Raw genomic sequence first — 21,950 nt, 5'->3', positions numbered from 1 at the left:
AGCCTCCCAAGTAGCTGGGATTACAGGCGCGTGACACCATGCCCAGCTAATTTTTTGTATTTTTAGTAGAGAGGGGGTTTTGTCATGTTGGCCAGGCTGGTCTCGAACCTCTGATCTCAAGTGATCCACCTGCCTTAGGCTCCCAAAGTGCTGGAATTACAGGCATAAGCCGCCACACCCAGCTGAAATTTCTCATTGTTGGATTGCATATGGAACGATAAGCTGGTGGGATACAATAGGTGTCAGGTGTCGTAGGTACTATAATCCTATGAGCTAAAATACATTTAGCCATAAAATAATGTTTAATTGTTATCAAATCCTTTAGTTCCCTGACATGTTCCTATTTAGCATCTATTCAGTGTTGCCTTTTCACTAGGCAAGTTGATGTGCAGTCATGAACATGAAAAGGAGGAGAAAATTTAATATTTTGATTCTTAGATAGGAAGTCACGCTCCCCAAGGGTCATTTTAGGTTTCTACTTGGCAGGCAGCAGCTCAGAAGCAACTATACCTTTCTCCGTTTTGCTCTAGACAGCCCAGCCTGAGGGAGAAAGCACGCATTGATAAAGAACATAACCAAACCTCACCCAACTTCTCTTTTCAGCACCCTAATTAAAAAGGCTAAATGAGGTGGCTCTTCCCCGCTCATGAAAATCATCTCTGAAGTAACACTGAGACCTGTTAACAAAGGGGCATTTATTCAGCACAATAGAACTTTGATATCTGCAATGCTTAAAAAAATACATCCCCATTCCTGAGGAAATTAACTTGCCAGGTTCAGTTTAAAGTGATGAACGTTCCTTCCTTATTTTACTCCTGTAAAATAAAAAGAAACCAAGGAAACATATTTTTTCTTTAATATTAAAAATATCTTTTATGGACTGAAGTTGATCTATTCTTTTAGAGAAGACACAGAGGCATATAGTATAATCTTTAAAAAATTAAATTACTTTACAAGTTAAAATGGAAGTGTTTTAGTCTTTAAGATTTTTAAAAATGCGTCTAAAACTCGATCTTCCAGCAAGCTTTTGTTTGTGTCAGTAGGTGGGACTAATATAGACCCAGAAAGATGGGGCTCTGCTCAGCTTGGGACAGAAGGACCTCGAGCTATTTTCCAGTTACATTTTATATTTTATATCAAAGCACCTTATGTCTATTTACACAGCAAAGTCAAAAGCTAAAACCATGAGAGAATACTGTTTCTCATATATTTTGAGCTGACTCTGATAAGCTATTGTTTAGAATTTAAATGTATGCACAGATTTTTTAAAAATCAGATAGTTAAAACAGCACTTTCTATGCAGGGTTCTTTCTCTATTTGACATTCACATTTTTAAAGAGCTTCTCTAGCATTTAACTGTAGTCCGTATCTTTACAGAGAAGTCTTTTTCATTCTTAGCATAATTCCAACTTTCTATATGTACAATAAGGTCTACTTTCTTACACATGAAAATATTTCTTCAGCACAAAAATGGTTAACTTGAAAATGAAGTGTAGATGTTTAAAAATTAACTTTCTAGTTCTGCTCCCAGCTGGAATTAAGTGCCGTTTATGAAGAACTAGAATCCTCTTTCAGTTTTACGGTTAAGTATTCATTCAGTATTGGTGTCTGCTTTCTGCCTTCCACATAGATGAGAAATCTGCTTTTGGATGAAGAAAACACAACATTAATAAAATACAATCAATTAATATTGGAGAGCATGCTATAAGCTCCTGGCGTCTAAAATATTAACTCTACATCCTGATTTTCATCAACATCAGGACATGCAAAATACTATAAATATGAAAACTCAGCGGAGAGAGGGAGGGGAGAGGAGGAGGGATGGGGGCGGGGACGGCGCTGCTCAGGCTCTCTGCTTCCCCAGTGTCTTTGAAATGCTGATATGCTTACCTTGAAAAGATCCGAAATGCCTGTACGCTTTAGCTTATCAAACTGGGTTCTGAGGAAACCGCATATGAAATGCAGGTTTGATAGAAGTAAACACAAATCCAGAAAGTGCTTACTGGGTCAATACACGTTTTTATGAAGATTTTACTCGATGTAAAACTTTTTTTTTTTTTTTTTTTTGAGACGGAGTTTCGTTCTTGTCGCCCAGGCTGGAGTGCAGTGGCCAAATCTCCACTCATTGCAACCACCGCCTCCCGGGTTCAAGCCATTCTCCTGCATCAGCCTCCCCAGTAGCTGGGATTACAGGCATGCGCCTCCATGCCCGGCTAATTTTTTTTTTTGGTATTTTTAGTAGAGACGGGGTTTCGCCATGTTGGCCAGGATGGTCTCAAACTCCTGACCTCAGGCGATCCGCCCACCTCGGCCTCCCAAAGTGCTGAGATTACAGGTGTGAGCCACCGCGCCCAGCTACCCCATGTAAAACTTTTATAAAACTTTACTCCACATAAAGACTTCTTGGCTAGGCGTGGGGGGCCACGCCTTTAATCCCAGCACTTTGGGAGGCCGAGGCGGGCGGATCACTTAAGCTCAGGAGTTCGAGACCAGCCTGGCCAACGTGGCGAAACCCCGTCTCTACTAAAAATACAAAAAAAAAAAAAATTAGCCGGGCATGGTGGCACATGCCTGTAATCCCAGCTACTTGGGAGGCTGAAGCAGGAGAATCGCTTGAACCCGGGAGGCGGAGGTTGCAGTGAGCTGAGATCGCACCACTGCACTCCAGACTGGGAGACAAGAGCAAAACTCTGTCTCAAAAAAAAAAAAAAAAAAAAATTAGCCAGGTGTGGTGATGCGCACCTGTAATCCCAGCTGCTTGGGAGACTGAGGCAGGAGAATCGCTTGAACCTGGGAGGTGGAGGTTGCAGTGAGCTGAGATTGCACCACTGCACTCCAGCCTGGGCGACAGAGCAAGACTCCAACTCAAAAACAAACAAACAAAAAACTTCTTTCTGGACAGACAGATGAAATGCTAAAACATTAATTTTGATTTTTTTTCAGCTATAATTTTTTTTCTTTTCTTTTTTTTTTTGAGACTGAGTTTCACTCTTGTTGCCCAGGCTGGTGTGCAATGGCACGATCTCGGCTCACTGCAACCTCCGCCTCCTGGGTTCAAGCGATTCTCTTGCCTCAGCCTCCTGAGTAGCTGGGATTACAGGCATGCACCACCAAACCCAGCTAATTTTTTGTATTTTTAGTAGAGACAGGGTTTCACCATGTTGGCCAGGCTGGTCTCAAACTCCCGACCTCAGGTGATCTGCCTGCCTCGGCCTCCCAAAGTGCTGGGATTATAGGCATGAGCCACCATGCCTGGCCCATATACCACATTTTCTTTATCCATTAGTTGATTGATGGGCATCTGCGCTGGTTCCGTATTTTTGCAATTGCGAATTGTGCTGCTATAAACATGTGTGTACAAGTGTCTTTTTCATATACTTTTCCTCCACGTAGATACCCAGTAGTGGGATTATTGGATCAAATCGGAGTTCTACTTTTAGTTCTTTATGGATAACCTCCACACTGTTTTCCATAGGGGTTGTACTAGTTTACATTCCCACCAGCAGTGTAAAAGTGTTCCCTTTTTACCACATCCATGCCAACATCTATTATTTCTTGATTTTTAAATTATGGCCATTCTTGCATGAGTAAGGTGGTACTGCATTGTGGTTTTTCTGTTTGTTTGGTTTTTTGTTTGTTTGTTTAGAGACAGAGTCTCATTATTGTCGCCCGGCTGGAGTGCAATGGTGCAATCTTGGCTAATTGCAACCTCCGCCTCCCAGGTTCCAGAAATTCTCCTACCTCAGCCTCCCGAGTAGCTGGGATTACAGGTGCCCGCCACCATGCTTGGCTAATTTTTGTATTTTTAGTAGAAACGCGGTTTCACCATGTTGGCCAGGCTTGTCTCAAACTCCTGGCCTCAAGTGATCCACCCGCCTTGGCCTCCCAAAGTGCTATGATTATGGGCATGAGCCACTGCGCCCGGCCCGCATTGTGGTTTTGATTTGCATTCCCCTGATAATTAGTGATGTTGAACATCTTTTCATATTAGATTCTGATTTTTAAAGCTGTGTCTATGTATTCACTTCCCTAGATTTAAAATTCTAGGTATTGAGAATAATAACTTTTTTTTTTTGAGACGGAGTCTTGCTCTGTTGCCCAGGCTAGAGTGCAGTGGTGCCATCTTGGCTCACTGCAACTTCTGCCTCCTGGGTTCAAGTGATTCTCCTGCCTCAGCCTCCCAAGTAGCTGGGATTACAGGCGCCCACTACCGCGCCTGGCTAATTTTTGTATTTTTAGTAGTGACAGACCAGGCTGGTCTCGAACTCCTGACCTCGTGATCCAGCCGCCTCAGCCTCCCAAAGTGATGGGATTACACGTGTGAGCCACCACGCCCGGCCTTTTTTTTTTTTTTTTTAAGAGACAAGGTCTCACTGTGTTCCCAGGCTGGAGTGCAGGAGAACTTTTTGATCTGCATTTCTTTGCAAGTAATTGACATTTTACTCTGATTAAATTTAGAAGTATGCATAAATTGGTCGAGCAAAAGAGAAAGTATTACAAGTCAAACAAATGCATGGCCTTGACTCAACGTTATCGATGTTCCCAAGTTACTTATTAAATATTAATTGAGATATAAGGTGAGATAAGCAAAGGTGACTTACTCGTGATCACGATGAATACTGAAGTTGCCTTTTGTTTCCTTCAATAACTGACAAAGGTATTTTTTTGAGCTGACTCTTCTGGGACCTCTGACTTCTAGAAAACAACTCCCAGATTAGTATTCAGGATAGAGAAACTAAAAAATTCTTAAGAAGACTAAACACAAATATAGCAGAAATGCCTTTAAGAGATGTTAGATGAGGCTGGGCGTGGTGGCTCATGCCTATAATCCCAGCACTTTGGGAGGCCAGGGTGGGCGGATCACTTGAGATCAGGAATTCAAGAGCAGCCTGGCCAGTATGGCAAAACCCCATCTCTACCAAAAATACAAAAATGAGCTGGACATCGTGGCGCCCGCCTGTAATTCCAGCTACTTGGGAAGCTGAGGTGGGAGAATTGCTTGAACCCAGGAGGTGGAGGTTGCAGTAAGCCAAGATCACGCCACTGCACTCCAGCCTGGGCGACAGAGTGAGACCCTGTCTCAAAAAAAGAAAAAAGAAAAAAAGACGTTAGATGAAGAGATATCTGCACTCCACTCCATGTTCACTGCAGCCAAGATGCGGAAGCAACATAAGTGCCTGTCAGCAGATGAGTGGATCAGGAAAACGTAGTATATACGCACAATGGAGTAATATTTAGCCATAAAAACAAACAAAATTCTGTAATTTGCAACAGCGTGGATGAACCTGGAGGACATTAGACTGCGTGAAAGAAGCCAGGCACAGAAAGACAAATACTGCCTGATCTCACTTATATTTGAAATCTAAAAAGTGTGGAACTCAATGGTGTGAACCCGGGAGGCGGAGCTTACAGTGAGCCAAGATCGCACCACTGCACTCCAGCCTGGGCGACAGACCGAGACTCCATCTCAAAAAAAAAAAAAAAAATGTGGAACTCATAGAAGCAGAGAGTAGAATAGTGATTACCAGAGGCTTGGGGAGGGAGTGGATGGGGAAAGGGGAGCTATTGGTCAAAGGTACAAAGTTTCAATTAGACAGGAGGAAAAGTTTTAGTGATCTATTGCACAGCACCATGACTATGGTTAATAATAATGTATTGGCCAGGTGCAGTGGCTCACGCCTGTAATCCCAGCACTTTGGGAGGCCGAGGCAGGCGGATCACAAGGTCAAGAGCTCGAGACCATCCTGGCCAACATGGTGAAACCCTGTCTCTACTAAAAAGACGAAAATTAGCTGGGCGTGGTGGCACGCGCCTGTAGTCCCAGCGACTTGGGAGGCTGAAAGGCAGGAGAATCGCTTGAACCTGGGAGGTGGAGGTTGTAGTGAGCCAAGATCACGACACTGCACTCCAGCTTGGTGACAAGAGTGACATTCTGTCTCAAAAAAAAAAAAAAAAAAGATAAATAATGTCGTGTGTGTGTGTGTGTGTGTGTGTGTGTGTTTAAATTTATAGAGACAGGGTCTCCCATTGTTGCCCATTCCTGGCTTCACGTGATCCTCCTGCCTCAGCCTCCCAAAGGGCTAGGATTACAGGTGTGAGCCATTGTGCCCAGCCAATAATAATGTATGATATATTTCAAAATTGTTAAATGAATCGGTTCTAAATCTTTCCACTACAAAGACATGATAAGTATGTGAGGTGATAGATACACAGCTGGTTTAGTCATTCTACTATGTTATATACATATTATAACATTGCACTATACACTGTAAATATATACAATTATTATTTGTCAATTTAAAAAAGACCATAGTGGCTACGCACAGTGGCTCACGCCTGCAATCCCAGCACTTTGGGAGGCTGAGGTGGGAGGATCTCTTGAGCCCAGGAGTTTGAGACCAGCCTAGGCAACACGGGGAGACAAAAAATACACTTAAAAAAAAATTAGCCAGGCATGGTGACAAACACCTGTACTCCCAGATATTCAGGAGGCTGAAGTGGGAGGACCGCTGGAGCCTGGGAGTTTGAGGCAGAAGTGAGCCATGATCGTGCCACTGCACTCTAGCCTGAGCGAGAGAGTGACACCCTGTCTCAGAAAATAATAAATAAATAAGACCTTAGGGAATGAATAAAATATAATGAAGTGACTGCATACAATTGCCATCCATCCATCCAACAAAGGCTTCTTGACTTCCCATTCATGTGTGGGGTCCCCTTTGTCTCTAATCTGGAAGGACTTCTCTGTCTGCTTCACCATGTGTGTTACAGCTAAACGCTGGCCATCAGCTAATGCCCAGATATAACTGGCTCGCTGTCAGTCCTAACACAGGCACCGATCCAGTGAGCCCTCAGTGAGCCGTGTTGAAAACAGTGGTCAGTAGTTAAGCATCGGCAACTCTAAGTGCCTCGTTAGCCTTCTTAGGTGTCTGGGTGGGGAAAAGAGGAAGAAGGGGAGTGGAGAGGTAAGGGGGAGGAATGAAGGGGAGATGATGCCTGGAAAGACCCCAGTGCATTCCGTGGTGACCCCTGGCTTGCAGGTGAGCCCACCTCCTCACCTCCCCCTGCCTGTGTGGCCTGCATTCCAGCCACCCCGGGATCCCTCACAGTTCCTCAGGGGCACCCAAGGGTGCTTCCAGTCCTCTGTGCTTTTACTCATGCTGCTTCCTCTCTATGCAAATTGCCCATGTATTTTACCATCTGATTTTTTTTTTTTTTTTTTTGAGACAGAGTCTTGCTCTGTTGCCCAGGCTGGAGTGCAGTGGCGTGATCTCGGCTCACTGCAACCTCCGCCACCTGGGTTCAAGCGATTCTAGTGCCTCAGCCTCTCGAGTAGCTGGGATTACGGCACGCCACCATGCCCGGGTAATTTTTGTATTTTTAGTAGAGAGGGGGTTTTACCTTGTTGGCTAGGCTGGTCTGGAACTCCTGCCCTCAGGTGATCTGCCTGCCTGGGCCTCCCAAAGTGCTGGGATTACAGGCGTGAACCACCGTGCCTTGCTACCATGCTATGTATTTTCTCTTATTCGTTTAAAAACTTCATTCTGAAAGGGATCTGCAGGCTTTATCAGCCTGCCACGAGAAAGGCCAAGAGCCCCGACAGGTAACACCAACCATCTCAAGCCAGCAATCAGGACGGCCAGGCCCACACAGCAGGCACAAGTCCAAGCTCAGTTTATGGTAGGGTCCGCTCCTCACCCCTACCCTCCAGGCAAGGAGGAAGCCCGCCATGAGGCAATGTGCTCAGCTGTGCGCTTCCCCTTACTCTAACTCCTTTTTTCTCCTTTGTCTATTTTTAAATTATTGGAGTTTTTCTTGAATAGTTTAAAAATCAAAATAATAAAAACAGGTATAAACTGAGAAGTCCCGCTTCTGCCTCATCCCTCATGCCTCCTATTGGTAAAATTTATATCATCTTTCCACTGTGTCTTTGTGCAAATATATATTCTTATTTCCATCCTCTTTCTTTTCTTCTTCTTCTTTTTTTTTTTTTTTTTTTTTTGAGACAGGATCTTGCTGTATCGCTCAGGCTGGAATACAGTTGCTCAATCACAGCTCACTGCAGCCTCAAATTCCTGGGCTCAAGCAATCCTCCTGTCCCAGCCTCCCGAGTGCCTGGGACTACAAGTGTGCACCACCATGCCCCGCTAATGTTTTTAAAAACCTTTTTTTGTAGAGACAGGGCCTAGCTATGTTGCCCAGGCTGGTCTCGAACTCCTGGGCTCAAGCAATCCTCCCACCTTGGCCTCCCAAAGTGGTGGGATTACAGGTGTGAGCCACTGCTCCTGGCCCTCTCCTTATGTATGTGGAATGCCATATGAACCTTCAGTATCTTGCACGTTTCTCACTTAGCAATATATCTGGAAATATTTCCACATACTAGAGCACCTCATTCTGTTCTATGTCTGCTCAGAACTCCACCGTGTGGGTGGACCACAGCTTATTCCCTCGGTTCCCTTTTGCTGGACACTGGGTGGGTGGCCTCCTATCATTTGCTATTGTAAAGCAATGCTGCAAAGAAACACGTGTGCCTATGCCATTTCATACACATGCAGAAGTATCTGTGGGAGAGATTCCCAAAGTGACACTGCATTGTCAAAGCGTCAGTTCTTCAGTGATTTTTAGAAAACATTGCCAATTTCCCCAACAGGAGGACTGAATCATTGCCTGCTCCCTGGCAACGTGGGAGAGTGCCTGTCTCACAGCAAGGCTCTGAATTGCGACCCTTGTCTGTAGCGACAGATGGCAAAGCCCTGGAGAAGCAGACACGCTGCTCAGAACTTTACCCTGCTTCCTTATTGCAGAAATTAAGAATTTTTAAACAAAATTATTTGCTTTTTCGGTACCTAGCTGTACTCAGTACAAAGGCATGGGGGGAGGAGTTTGTAAAGCGTGTTGCCAGGTAAATCCCTGTTATTTAAATTCTGTCTTCCCAATATCTCTAGAATCAGTTAATGCACCAGAAAATGTATGATATCTGGAGCCAACAGTTTTTCCAATTAAATGATTTTCTGATTCTAGCTGTACTTTGTTGACTAAAGAGATTCGGTCATTTTTCCCTTCCTGTAAAATGTAAGGTTGGAATTAGATATCTCTTCTGGATCTTTCTAGCTCAAACACTCTGAAAAAAATATATTTTTTGAGACAGGGTCTTGCTCTGTTGCCCAGGCTGGAGTGCAATGGTGTGATCGTGGTTCACTGTAGCCTCGAACTCCTGGGCTCAAAGTCATGATCCTCCTACCTCAGCCTCCTGAGTAGCTGGAACTATAGGCGTGAGCCACTACACTTGGCTAATTTTTATTTTTTAGCAATGGGGTCTCACTATCTTGCCCAGGCTGGTCTCGAACTCCCAGGCTCAAGCAATCCTCCTGTGTGGTCCTCCCAAAGAGCTAGGATTACAGGTGTGAGTCACTGCACCCAGCTAATTTTATTTTATTTTTCTTAGACAGTGTCCCACTCTATGGCCCAAGCTGGAGTACAGTGGTGTGATCATAGCTCACTGTAGCCTTGACCTCATGCTCAAGCGATCCTCCCCCCTCAACCTCCCAAGTACCCAGGACTACAGTCATGGGTCACCACGTCCAGTTAATTTTTTTTTTTTTTTTTTTTTTGAGACAGAGTCTCGCTATGTCACCCAGGCTGGAGTGCAGTGGCACGATCTTGGCTCACTGCAAGCTCCGCCTCATGGGTTTACACCATTCTCCTGCCTCAGCCTTTCAAGTAGCCGGGACTACAGGCGCCCGCCACCACGCCCAGCTAATTTTTTTGTATTTTTAGTGGAGATGGGGTTTCACCGTGTTAGACAGGATGGTCTTGATCTCCTGACCTCATGATCCGCCTGCCTCGGCCTCCCAAAGTGCTGGGATTACAGGCGTGAGCCACCGCGCCTGGCCACATCCAGCTAATTTTTGAATTTTTTGTAGAGACAAAGTCTTGGTATGTTGCCCCAGCAGAACTTGAACTCCTGCCCTCAAGTGATCCTCCCACCTCGGCCTCCCAAAGTGCTGGGATTATAGGTGTGAGCCACTGCACCTGGCCAGCTTTTTCTTTTTTCTGCATGTTCCTGTCAGTTCCATTCAAGGTAGGCCCTGAGACCGCCTGTGGCAGATGCTGGGTGCTGCAGCCAGGGTGCCAAGGTGGAGAAGGGTCCTGAGGCGTTCACAGTGAGCAGGAGTCATGGACGCAGTCACCTGTTGGCTACCTGACGTGCACTCTGATGGAGGCAGATACACACACACACACGCATGCATGCACACACACACATGTGCAGGCACACACACACAGAGCTACACTAGCAGGACAAAAATGAGGGAGTGATTGATTATATCTCAGGAATTTGACATAAAACCCTAACAAAGAGGTTGAGAGAACAACCTGAAGCCACGAGGACAAGGAGGAGACATCTGTTGCTATAATGCTTGTTTGGAAAACGTGAATTTGGGCCAGGCATAGTGGCTCACGCCTGTAATCCCAGCACATTGGGAGGCCAAGTTGGGAGGATCACTTGAGGTCAGGAGTTTGAGACCAGCCTGGCCAACATGGTGAAACTCTGTCTACTAAAAATACAAAAAATTAACCAGGCATGGTGGCTCACACCTGTAATCCCAGCTACTCAGGAGGCTGAGGCAAGAGAATCGCTTGAACCCAGGAAGTGGAGGAAAGAGTGAAACTCCATCTCAAAAATAAAATAAAAATAAAAAAATAGGCCAGGCATGGTGGCTCATGCCTGTAATCCCAGCACTTTGGGAGGCCGAGGCGGGTGGATCACAAGGTCAGGAGATCAAGACCATCCTGGCTAGCATGGTGAAACCCCATCTCTACTAAAAATCCAAAAAAAAAAAAAAATTAGCTAGGCGTGGTGGCGGGTGCCTGTAGTCCCAGCTACTTGGGAGGCTGGGGCAGGAGAATAGTGTGAACCCGGAAGGTGGAGCTTGCAGTGAGCCAAGATCATACCACTGCACTCCAGCCTGGGTGACAGAGCAAGACTCTGTCTCAAAACAATAAATAAATAAATAAATAAAATTTAAAAATAAAAATAAACTGGCATGTAATCTTTATTCCATCAAAGTTCATGGATCCCATGAATTCTAGTCAACAAATTCTGATTAAAATTATCTGTCCAACAAATCCATAGAGACAGAAAGTAGATTGTGGTAACCAGTGGCTGTGGATGTGGGGTCTCCTTTTGGGGTGATTAAAATATTCTAGAATTAGATAGCGGTAGTGGCTGCACGATTTTATTAATATGATTTAAAAAAAACCACCAAATTGTACACTTTAGAAGGGTGAATTGTATGTAAATAATAAAATGTGAATTCTGTCTCTCTTTTTGATATAGGGTCTCACTCTGTCACCCAGGCTGGAATGCAGTGGCAAGATCATGGCTCACCACAGTCTTGACCTCCCAGGATCAAGTGATCCTCCTACCTCAGCCTCCTGAGTTGCTGGAACTACTGGTGCATGGCAGTGTGTCCAGCTAATTAAAAAAAATTTTTTATTTTGTAGAGGTGGGGTTTTTCAATGTTGCCCAGAGTGGTCTCAAACTCCTTGGCTCAAGTGATCCATCTGCTTTGGCCTCCCAAAGTGCTGGGATTACAGGCATTAGCCACCATGGCTGGCCTATATCTCAATTAAAAAAATGTATTTTAAAGAAATAGCTGCCAAAGAATGACTAGAAAAGTCATAAAGGTTCTCCCCAGACACAGGGGAAGAAGCAGCCTCACTGCATACATTTAAAGGGATAGCTAAGCACCAAAATAGTTTTGTCATTAAAAACCTTCCTCTGCCCCAATATAAATGCAACGCTTCACTAATGCCTCAGAGACAGCTTGTGAAGAAGAAATCTTCCTAGGAAACACCAGAGTCCATCACGGTTTCCACTTTGAAAAGTTTATATGGCACACATGGTATACTTTGAAAAATTTCTAGTTTTGGATCCTGTTCTGCTTTAAGGTAATCTCTGCAACTACCTGTTTAGGCTCATGGCAGTGAGCATCTTGATTCTAAAATGATTAATGTTCTAGTTTTGGATCTATTCGCGGCACATAGAAACTGCTCCAGGGAACTCTGAATCTAACAAAATACCAATCTGAAGGACTAAGCAAGAATTGCCATCAGAGAGCATTTCGTGAAATAAGGCAAAGATGTTTGCTCCCCTGCTTCTATTCAACACTCATCTGGAGGTCCTAGCCAGAGCAGTAAGGGAAGAAAATGAAATAAGGCATAAATATTGGAAAAAGGAATAAAACTGTCTCTATTCATGAATGACATGATTGTGTAGAAAATCCTAAGGAATCTACAAAAAAACTACTAGAATAGGCTGGGTGTGGTGGCTCACGTCTGTAATCCCAGCATTTTGGGAGGCTGAGGCGGGCGGATCACAAGGTCAGGAGATGGAGACCATCCTGGCTAACACGGTGAAAGCCCGTCTCTACCAAAAAATGCAAAAAATTAGCCGGGTGTGGTGGCGGGCGCCTGTAGTCCCAGCTACTCGGGAGGCTGAGGCAGGAGAATGGCGTGAACCCGGGAGGCGGAGCTTGCAGTGAGCCGAGATCGCGCCACTGGCACCAAGGCCTGGGCGACAGAGCGAGACTCCGTCTCAAAAAAGAAAAAAAAAAACCTGTTAAGTTGGAAGTAATCAAAATTTTAAATTTCGCTTTTTAAAAGACACTGTTAAGAAAAGCCAGGCCAGGCACAGCGGCTCACGCCTATAATCCCAGCACTTTGGGAGGCTGAGGCAGGAGGATTGCTTGAACCCAAGAGTTTGAGACCAGCCTGGGCAACATTGTGGGACCCTGTTTCTACAAAAAATAAAAACATCAGCTGGGTGTGGTTTCGTGTACGTGTAATCCCAGCTACTCAGGAGGCTGAGGTGGGAAGATCACTTGAGCCTGGGAGTTGGAGGTTCAAGTTGGCCCTGCATTCCAGCCTGGGTGACAGAGCAAGACTGTCTCTAAAAAACAAATAAATAAGCTGAGCATGGTGGCTCATGCTGATAGTCCCAACACTTTGGGAGGCTGAGGCAGGAGGATTACTTGAGGCCGGGAGTTCAAGCAGCCTGGCAAACAGAGTGGGCATGGCAGTGCGTGCCTGTGGTCCCAGCTACTTGGGAGACTGAGGTGGGAGGATTGCTTGAGCCCAGGAATTTGAGGCTGCAGTGAGCTGTGATCACGCCTGCGAATAGCTACTGCACTCCAGCCTGGGCAACAGAGGAAGATGCTGTCTCAAAAATAAATAAATACACAAAATTAAAATTAGGCCGGGCAGGGTGGCTCATGCTTGTAATCCCAACACTTTGGGAGGCCAAGGCAGGTGGATCACTTGAGGTCAGGAGTTCGAGACCAGCCTGGTCAACATGGTGAAACCCCGTCTCTAATAAAAATGCAAAAATTAGTGAGGCATGGTGGCAGGTGCCTGTAATCTCAGCTACTTGGGAGGCTGAAACAGGAGAATTGCTTGAACCCAGGAGGCAGAGAATTGCAGTGAGCTGAGATCGTGCCATTGCACCCCAGCCTGGGCAACAAGAGCAAAACTCAGTCTCAAAAAAAAAAAAAAAAAAATTAAAAGTCCATATCTGTTAGAGAGACATCATGATCATGAAATATTTATGAGTGACATGATATGATGCTGAGCTAAAATGCTTCCAAAGAAAACGTGTATGGATGGGGTAAGATAAAATCGATGGTGGTCAAAGGTGAGTGACCGTGCCATTCTTTCCACTTCAGTGCATATTTGAAATTTTCTTTCTTTCTTTCTCTCTCTCTTTTTTTTTTTTTTTTTTTTTTGAGGTGGAGCTTTGCTCATTGCCAAGGCTGGAGTGCAATGGCACAATCTCGGCTTACCATAACCTCCACCTCCGGGGTTCAAGCAATTCTCCTGTCTCAGCCTCCCGAGTAGCTGGGATTACAGGCATGTGCCACTATGTCCGGCTAATTTTGTATTTTTAGTAGAGACGGGGTTTCTCCATGTTAGTCAGGCTGGTCTTGAACTCCTGACCTCAGGTAATCCACCCGCCTCGGCCTCCCAAAGTGCTGGGATTACAGGCATGAGCCACCACGCCCGGCCTTGAAACTTTCTATAATAAAATTTGGTTTTTTAAAACATTTCCAGCTGGCCGTGGTGGCTCACGCCTGTAATCCTAGCACTTTGGGAGGCCAAGGTGGGTGGATCACTGGAGATCAGGAGTTTGAGACCAGCCTGGCCAACATGGTGAAACCCTGTCTCTACTAAAAATATAAAAATTAGCCGGGCATGGTAGAGTAGGCCTTTAGTCCCAGTTACTTGGGAGGCTGAGGCAGGAGAATCACTTGAACCCGGGAGGTGGAGGTTGCAATGAGCTGAGATCGTGCCACTGCACCTCAGCCTGGGCGACAAGAGCAAAACTCTGTACCCGCCCCCTCCAAGAAAAAAGTCCCCAAGAATTTATCTTCATATGCCCCAGATCATTAGAAAGAGGAAGTTTGGGTCCAGTGACATCTAAGTGTAACTTTTTCCTCCTTAAAACAAGCATGTTCCCTTTCCTCCCTAGAGACACAGAAACTCTCCCTCTAACAGAAAGGCCGCCCTGCCGGTGATATTTGCACACTGGTGTTCAGTGGTGTGTTTGGATGTGACAAATATAGTCAAGAGAAAATGAAACGCATACATTTGTGGCACTGCCAGTGAGATTCTCATGGCTGATGGGCAGCAGTGTGCTCAGCTCCAGGTCCGTCACCATCTGACGAGATTCCGCCAGCAAACGCTGGAGCTTGCTCGTGGGCGAGAAATCATCCTGGGAGGGTAACACAATTGAAGCCTACAGGAAATTAAGAGGCACCTTTAAATGCTTAGGTTTACAAACACAAATGCTAACTACCTAGGAATATTGTTTTCTTTTTTCTTTCTCTTGCTCTGACGCCCAGGCTGAAGTGCAGTGGCACAATCACAGCTGATTGCCTCAAGCTCCTGGGCTCGAGTGATCCTCCTGCCTCAGCCTCCTGAAAAGCTGGGACCATAGGTGTGTGCAACCACACCGAGCAATTTTTTTTTTGGTAGAGGTGGGATCTCACTATGTTGCCCAGGCTGGTCTTGAACTCCTGGCCTCAAGTTACCCTCCTGCCTCGGCCTCCCAAAGTGCTGGGGTTATAGGCGTGAGCCACTACACCCGATCACCTGTGAATATTTCTTTGTCTTTAGGTGTTACAAAGCAAAGCTGGACATCAAATAGTAGAATAAGAATAACTAAATTCATTCCTTTTCTTTCTTTCTTTCTTTCTTTCTTTCTTTCTTTCTTTCTTTCTTTCTTTCTCTCTCTCTCTCTCTCTCTCTCCCTCCCTCTCTCTCTCTTTCTTTTTTTTTTTTTTTGAGACGGAGTCTCGCTCTGTCACCCAGGCTGGAGTGCAGTGGCATCATCTCGGCTCACTTCAAGCTCCACCCACCTCAGCCTCCCAAGTAGCTGGGACTACAGGCACCCACCACCATGCCTGGCTAATTTTTTTTTGTATTTTTTAGTAGAGACGGGGTTTCACCACGTTAGCCAGAATGGTCTCAATCTCCTGACCTCGTGATCTGCCTGCCTCAGCCTCCCAAAGTGCTGGGATTACAAGTGTGAGCCACCGCACCCGGCCTCTTTTTTTTTTTTTTGAGACGGAGTTTTGCTCTTGTTGCCTAGGCTGGAGTGCAATAGTGTAACCTCAGCTCACTGCAACCTCCACCTCCCGGGTTCAAGTGATTCTCCTGCCTCAGCCTCCCGAGTAGATGCGGCTACAGTTGCCCGCCACCACACCTGGCTAATTTTGTATTTTTAGTAGAGACAGGGTTTCACCATGTTGGCCAGGCTGGTCTTGAACTTCTGACCTCCAGTGATCCATCCGCCTCGAACTCCCACAGTGCTAGGATTACAGGCGTGAGCCACTGCACCCAGCCCCCTTTATTTCTTAGAACCTACTCAGTTAAATAATTTGACTTAAACAGAACTTACTACAGCTAATGAAGTAACACCCATGCGATAAAAGAATCCTAGGCATTGGTTAACTCTCCTCAACCAACTTGTCAATGCTGTATTTAGCATGTCAAAATACTTGCAAAATAGGACAACATTAAAGGCTTATAAGCCTTGAAAAATATGTGGGTATGTGCCTTCGTTTATTCCTATTAAATTTCAACTTTGGGATGTGAAGTTTGGCATGAAAATTAGTCACTGCCAATTGCTCTTAAAGGGGCCTAGACTGAATTTTTTTTTTTTTTTTTTTTTTTTTTTTTTTTGCAGATGGAGTCTCACTCTGTTGCCAGGCTGGAGTGCAGTGGCGTGATCTCAGCTCACTGCAACCTCCAACTCCCGGGTTCAAGCAATTCTCCTGCCTTTCAGCCTCCCGAGTAGCTGGGACTACAGGCATGTGCCACCACGCCCAGCTAATTTTTGTATTTTTCGTAGAGACGGGGTTTCACCATGTTGGTCAGGATGGTCTCGATCTCCTGACCTTAGGTGATCCCCCTTCCTTAGCCTCCAAAAGTGCTGCGAGTACAGGCATGAGCCACCACCTGATTTTTTTTTTTTTTTAAGAAAACTTAATTTCAGCCGGGCACGGTGGCTCACGCCTGTAATCCCAGCACTTTGGGAGGCTGAGGCGAGCAGATCACCTGAGGTTGGGAGTTTGAGACCAGCCTGACCAACATGGAGAAACCCCGTCTCTACTAAAAATACAAAATTAGCCGGGCGTGGTGGCACATGCCTGTAATCCCAGCTACTAGGGAGGCTGAGGCAGGAGAATCGCTTGAACCTGGGAGGCGGAGGTTGCGGTGAGCCGAGATCGTGCCATTGCACTCCAGCCTGGGCAACAAGAGTGAAACTCCGTCTGAAAAAAAAAAAAAAAAAAGGAAACTTAATTTCTTTTTATTTATTTATTTATTTTTTATTATTATACTTTAGGTTCTAGGGTACATGTGCATAACGTGCAGGTTTGTTACATATGTATACATGTGCCATGTTGGTGTGCTGCACCCATTAACTCATCATTTACATTAGGTATATCTCTTAATGCTATCCCTCCCCCCTCCCCCCACCCCACAACAGGCCCCAGTGTGTGATGTCCCCCTTCCTGTGTCCAAGTGTTCTCATTGTTCAATTCCCACCTATGAGTGAGAACATGCAGTGTTTGGTTTTTTGTCCTTGTGATAGTTTGCTGAGAATGATGGTTTCCAGCTTCATCCATGTCCCTACAAAGGACACGAACTCATCATTTTTTATGGCTGCATAGTATTCCATGGTGTATATGTGCCACATTTTCTTAATCCAGTCTATCATTTTTGGACATTTGGGTTGGTTCCAGGTCTTTGCTATTGTGAATAGTGCCACAATAAACATACGTGTGCACGTGTCTTTATAGCAGCATGATTTATAATCCTTTGGGTATATACCCAGTAATGGGATGGCTGGGTCAAATGGTATTTCTAGTTCTAGATCCCTGAGTAATCGCCACACTGTCTTCCACAATGGTTGAACTGGTTTACAGTCCCACCAACAGTGTAAAAGTGTTTCTATTTCTCCACATCCTCTCCAGCACCTGCTGTTTCCTGACTTTTTAATGATCGCCATTCTAACTGGTGTGAGATGGTATCTCATTGTGGTTTTGATTTGCATTTCTCTGATGACCAGTGATGATGAGCATTTTTTCATGTGTCTGTTGGCTGCATAAATGTCTTCTTTTGAGAAGTGTCTATTCATATCCTTCGCCCATTTGTTGATGGGGTTGTTTGTTTTTTTCTTGTAAATTTGTTGGAGTTCATTGTAGATTCTGGATATTAGCCTTTTGTCAGATGAATAGATTGCAAAAATTTTCTCCCATTCTGTAGGTTGCCTGTTCACTCTGATGGTAGTTTCTTTTGCTGTGCAGAAGCTCTTTAGTTTAATTAGAACCCATTTGCCGATTTTGGCTTTTGTTGCCATTGCTTTTGGTGTTTTAGACATGAAGTCCTTGCCCATGCCTATGTCCTGAATGGTATTGCCTAGGTTTTCTTCTAGGGTTTTTATGGTTTTAGGTCTAACATTTAAGTCTTTAATCCATCTTGAATTAATTTTTATATAAGGTGTAAGGAAGGGATCCAGTTTCAGCTTTCAGCATATGGCTAGCCAGTTTTCCCAGCACCATTTGTTAAATAGGGAATCCTTTCCCCATTTCTTGTTTTTGTCAGGTTTGTCAAAGATCAGATAGTTGTAGATGTGTGGTATTATTTCTGAGGGCTCTGTTCTGTTCCATTGGTCTATATCTCTGTTTTGGTACCAGTACCATGCTGTTTTGGTTACTGTAGCCTTGTAGTATAGTTTGAAGTCAGGTAGCGTGATGCCTCTAGCTTTGTTCTTTTGGCTTAGGATTGACTTGACAATGCGAGCTCTTTTTTGGTTCTATATGAACTTTAAAGTATTTTTTTCCAATTCTGTGAAGAAAGTCATTGGCACCTCGCCATAGCCAGATGGTGTTTCACCATGTTGACCAGGCTGGTCTTGAACTTCTGACCTCAGGTGATCCACCCGCCTCAGCCTCCCAAAGTGCTGGGATTACAGGCATGAGCCACCACGCCCAGCCTATTATTATTTTTTAAGACAGGGTCTGGCTCTGTCGCCCAGGCTGAAGTGCAATGGCACAATCTCAGCTTGCTGCAGCCTCCGCCTCCCGGGCTCAAGTGATTCTTCCACGTCAACCTCTTGAGTGGCTGGGACCACAGGCACGAGCTACAACACCTGGCTAATTTTTGTATTTTTAGTAGAGATGGGGTTTCACCATGTTGGCCAGGCTGGTCTTCAACTCCTGACCTCAGGTGATCTGCCCACCTCAGCCTCCCAAAGTGCTGGGATTACAGGCATGAGCCACCACGCCCGGCCTGATGGCCTGATAAGTGTTTTGTTCGCATAGTGCAGAGAGGAGGTAAATCTGGAGAAGTAATTAAAGAAGGGATATTCTACACAGACATAAAGAATAGCGTCTCTTTGGGATTGAATAACTGGCTAGAACTTCTCTATCAGTTGAAATCGAAGCTATAAATAGATGGTGGTTTAGCGTGTGAAAAGGTGCACAACATTGTTAGTCATTAGGGGAATGAAAGTTAAAACCACACTGAGATACCTCTTCATACCTATTAGAATGTCTGGAATTTAAAAATTGACCATTGCAAGTATTGACTGGAATCTGGAGCAGCTGGGACCGGAGCATCAGCACCACACTGATGGTGGGAATGTAACTGGTATAACCACTTTGGAAAACATCTTGCAGTTCCTTAAAATGTTAAATATACCCCAGCACTTTGGGAGGCTGAGGCAGGAGGATTGCTTGAGGTAAGGAGTTTGAGACCACCCTGGGCAACATAACAAGACCACATCTCCACAACAAATGTAAAAATGAGCTGGGCATAATGGTTCATGCCTACAGTCCCAGCTAATTGGGAGGCTGCAGTGGGAGGATTACTTGAGCCCAGGAGTTTGAGATTGCAGTAAGCCAGGATGGCATCACTGCACTCCAGCTTGGGCGACAGAGTGAGACCCTGTCTCTAAAAAAAGAAAAAAAAAGGTTAAATATACACCTACCATATGAGCTAGCTAGCATTCCATTCCTAGATAAACGAAAAAAAAATGTGTCTATACAAAGACTTATGATACATGAATATGCAAGCAGCTTTATTTGTATTATCTAGCACACCAGAAACAACCCAAATGTCCACTGACAAATGAATGGCTAAATCACTGTGGTAATAGGTTGGTGCAAAAGTAATTGCGGTTTTTGCCATTACTTTTTTTTTGAGATTGAATCTCGCTCTGTCACCCAGGCTGGAGTCCAGTAGCACGATCTTGGTTCACTGCAACCCCTGCCTCCCGGGTTTAAGCAATTCTTCTGCCTCAGCATCCTGAGTAGCTGGGATTACAGGCACACACCAGCACACCAGGCTCATTTTTGTATTTTTAGTAGACAGGGGATTTCACCATGCTGGCCAGGCTGGTCTCGAACGCCTGACCTCAAGTGATCCGCCTGCCTCGGCCTCCCAAAGTGTTGGGATTACTTTTAATGGCCTACCATTACTTTTAATGACAAAGACCATACTTACTTTTGCATCAACCTAATATATCCACACAATAGGATACTTGTCAGCAACAAAAAGGAATTATTTATATACACAGTCACATAAGTTAATCTCAAAATAATTACACTGAGTGAAAGAAACAAGAGGGACACAAAAGTTTGAATGCATTTATATAAAATTCTAGAAAAGGCAAACTAATCTGGGTTACAGAAGACAGATTAGTGAGTGATTGTCTGGGAATAGGGAGGGACGCACAGGGCAGAGGAAGAATTCCAAAGGGGTTTGGGTGTAATGAATGTGTCACTATTAGTCTGTCACATACAGACTAATGTGTGGTAAATGGGATTTTATTATACAAGAAAATGTCTGGCCAGGTACAGTGCCTTGTGCCTGTAATCCCATTAGTGGGATGAAGATTTCAATTTGCCACCCTGGTATCTTGGTAAATCATAGATGTCAGATGTTTACCTTTTTTTTTTTTTTTTTTTGAGACAGAGTCTCACTCTGTTGCCAGGCTGGAGTGCAATGGTGCAATCTCGGCTCACTGCAAACTCTGCCTCCTGGTTTCAAGCGATTCTCCCGCCTCAGCCTCCCAAGTAGCTGAGATTACAGGCACCCGCCACTACACCTGGCTAATTTTTTTATTTTAGTAGAGATGGGGTTTCACCATGTTGGTCAGGCTGGTCTCGAACTCCTGACCTCAGGTTATCTGCCCACCCCGGCCTTCCAAAGTGCTGGGATTACAGGCGTGAGCCACTGCGCCTGGCGATGTTTTCCTCTTTTATGTTTTTAAAATTTTATTGAAACAAAAAATAGAGGCAGGGTCTTGCTATGTTGCCCATGCTGATCCTGAATTCCTGGGCTTAAGCAATTCTTCCACTTTGGCCCCCAAGAGTGTTGGAATTACAGGCACGAGGCACTGTACCTTGCCACACATTTTCTCATATAATGAAATCCCATTTACCACACATTAGTCTGTATGCATGTCTCTGCAGATAGAGAAATCTGTAAGCAAGCCCACCAACGTGTCACCTGGGTCTCTCTAGACACTGCCAGGGGTTGTGTATTTGGAGGAAGGGGCAGCTGAGACCAAGCAGTTAGGTGATATCTATATTTCTGTATTGTTCTTGTGGTTTGTTTTTCTTTTTCTTTTTTCTTTCTTTTTTTTTTTACAACCAACATATATCAAGTTGCCAAAAAAAAAAAAAATACAATTTTTCTCGAAAGAAAAAAATAGTCCCAGCACGGTGATTCACACTTATAATCCCAGCACACTTTGGGAGGCCAAGGCAAGAAGATCACTTGAGCCCAAGTGTTCAAGACCAGACTGGGCAACAAATTGAGACCCTGTCTCTACAAAAAAATGAGAAAATTAGCTGGGCGTGGTGGCATGTGCCTGTAGTTGCAGCTACTTGGAAGGCTGAGGCAGGAGGATCACTTGAGCCCAGTAGGTTGAGGCTGCAGTGAGCCACGATTGCACCACTGCACTACAGCCTGGGTGACTGAGTATCCTGTCTCAAAGAAACAGAACAAAACACAAAATAATAAAATAAATAAAAGGATTGCCTTAAAAGCATCTTAAAATCCTAGAATTAAAAAAAAAAAAAAAAAAACGGAGGAATAGCCAAAATAAGCAAGCTAACAGTGGTTGCTAGAGAAGCATTAAAAGCTGGTGAGAGGCCTGGCTTGAGTAAGCTGGGGATGTCTAAGCAAAATACGAACCTTTTCATTGAATGCTGGTGCATCTTTGTAGATTAACAAACTCGTAGGTGAGTTCTTTTTATTGGAAGAGGACTCCGTCTCATCTTCTCTCAAGGCAGATTTTGAAGAACCCAAAGAGTGGGAATCTTGGATGGCAATTAGCTCACTAAGAATAAGAAAACCCAACAAAAACAAATATCTTAAAA

At 44.7% G+C, this 21,950-nt stretch overlaps 1 protein-coding gene across 8 annotated transcripts in view, besides 2 other annotated features; it reads right to left on the bottom strand.

Moving 5' to 3' along the window:
• Window positions 1–532: 532 nt before the first annotated feature.
• CCDC62 (coiled-coil domain containing 62) overlaps window positions 533–21,950 on the bottom strand; it is a 52,957-nt gene continuing 31,539 nt past the window's right edge. For 2 of the 8 annotated variants that reach the window (NM_201435.5, XM_011538856.3), the window contains exons 10-13: window positions 21,766–21,910; window positions 14,642–14,791; window positions 4,602–4,695; window positions 533–1,639 (exon numbers count right to left, since the gene is read on the bottom strand). In NM_201435.5, the coding sequence (NP_958843.2) occupies window positions 4,642–4,695; window positions 14,642–14,791; window positions 21,766–21,910 (349 nt within the window). In that variant the 3' untranslated portion in view covers window positions 533–1,639; window positions 4,602–4,641. Of the gene's footprint in view, window positions 1,643–4,601; window positions 4,696–14,641; window positions 14,792–21,765; window positions 21,911–21,950 lie in introns of all 8 variants that reach the window. The other 6 variants (XM_006719644.3, XM_047429680.1, XR_944784.2 and 3 more) reach the window with 5 other exon arrangements.
• Window positions 14,384–14,463: an enhancer, noted in NCBI's record as "active region_7238". NCBI's record gives its function as "activates an Ori minimal core promoter by ATAC-STARR-seq in GM12878 lymphoblastoid cells {active_cell/tissue: GM12878}" and the evidence as "EXISTENCE:reporter gene assay evidence [ECO:0000049][PMID:35858748]".
• Window positions 15,649–15,824: a silencer, noted in NCBI's record as "fragment chr12:123296784-123296959 (GRCh37/hg19 assembly coordinates)". NCBI's record gives its function as "represses an EF-1alpha promoter that drives an FKBP-Casp9 reporter gene in an ReSE screen in K562 erythroleukemia cells {active_cell/tissue: K562}" and the evidence as "EXISTENCE:reporter gene assay evidence [ECO:0000049][PMID:32094911]".

The sequence above is a fragment of the Homo sapiens genome, chromosome 12 (assembly GCF_000001405.40).
Source record: "Homo sapiens chromosome 12, GRCh38.p14 Primary Assembly".
Classification (NCBI taxonomy): Eukaryota; Metazoa; Chordata; class Mammalia; order Primates; family Hominidae; genus Homo; species Homo sapiens.
The sequence above is the reverse complement of the archived record's forward strand: the minus strand, read 5'-3'. Positions and strand labels throughout refer to the sequence as shown.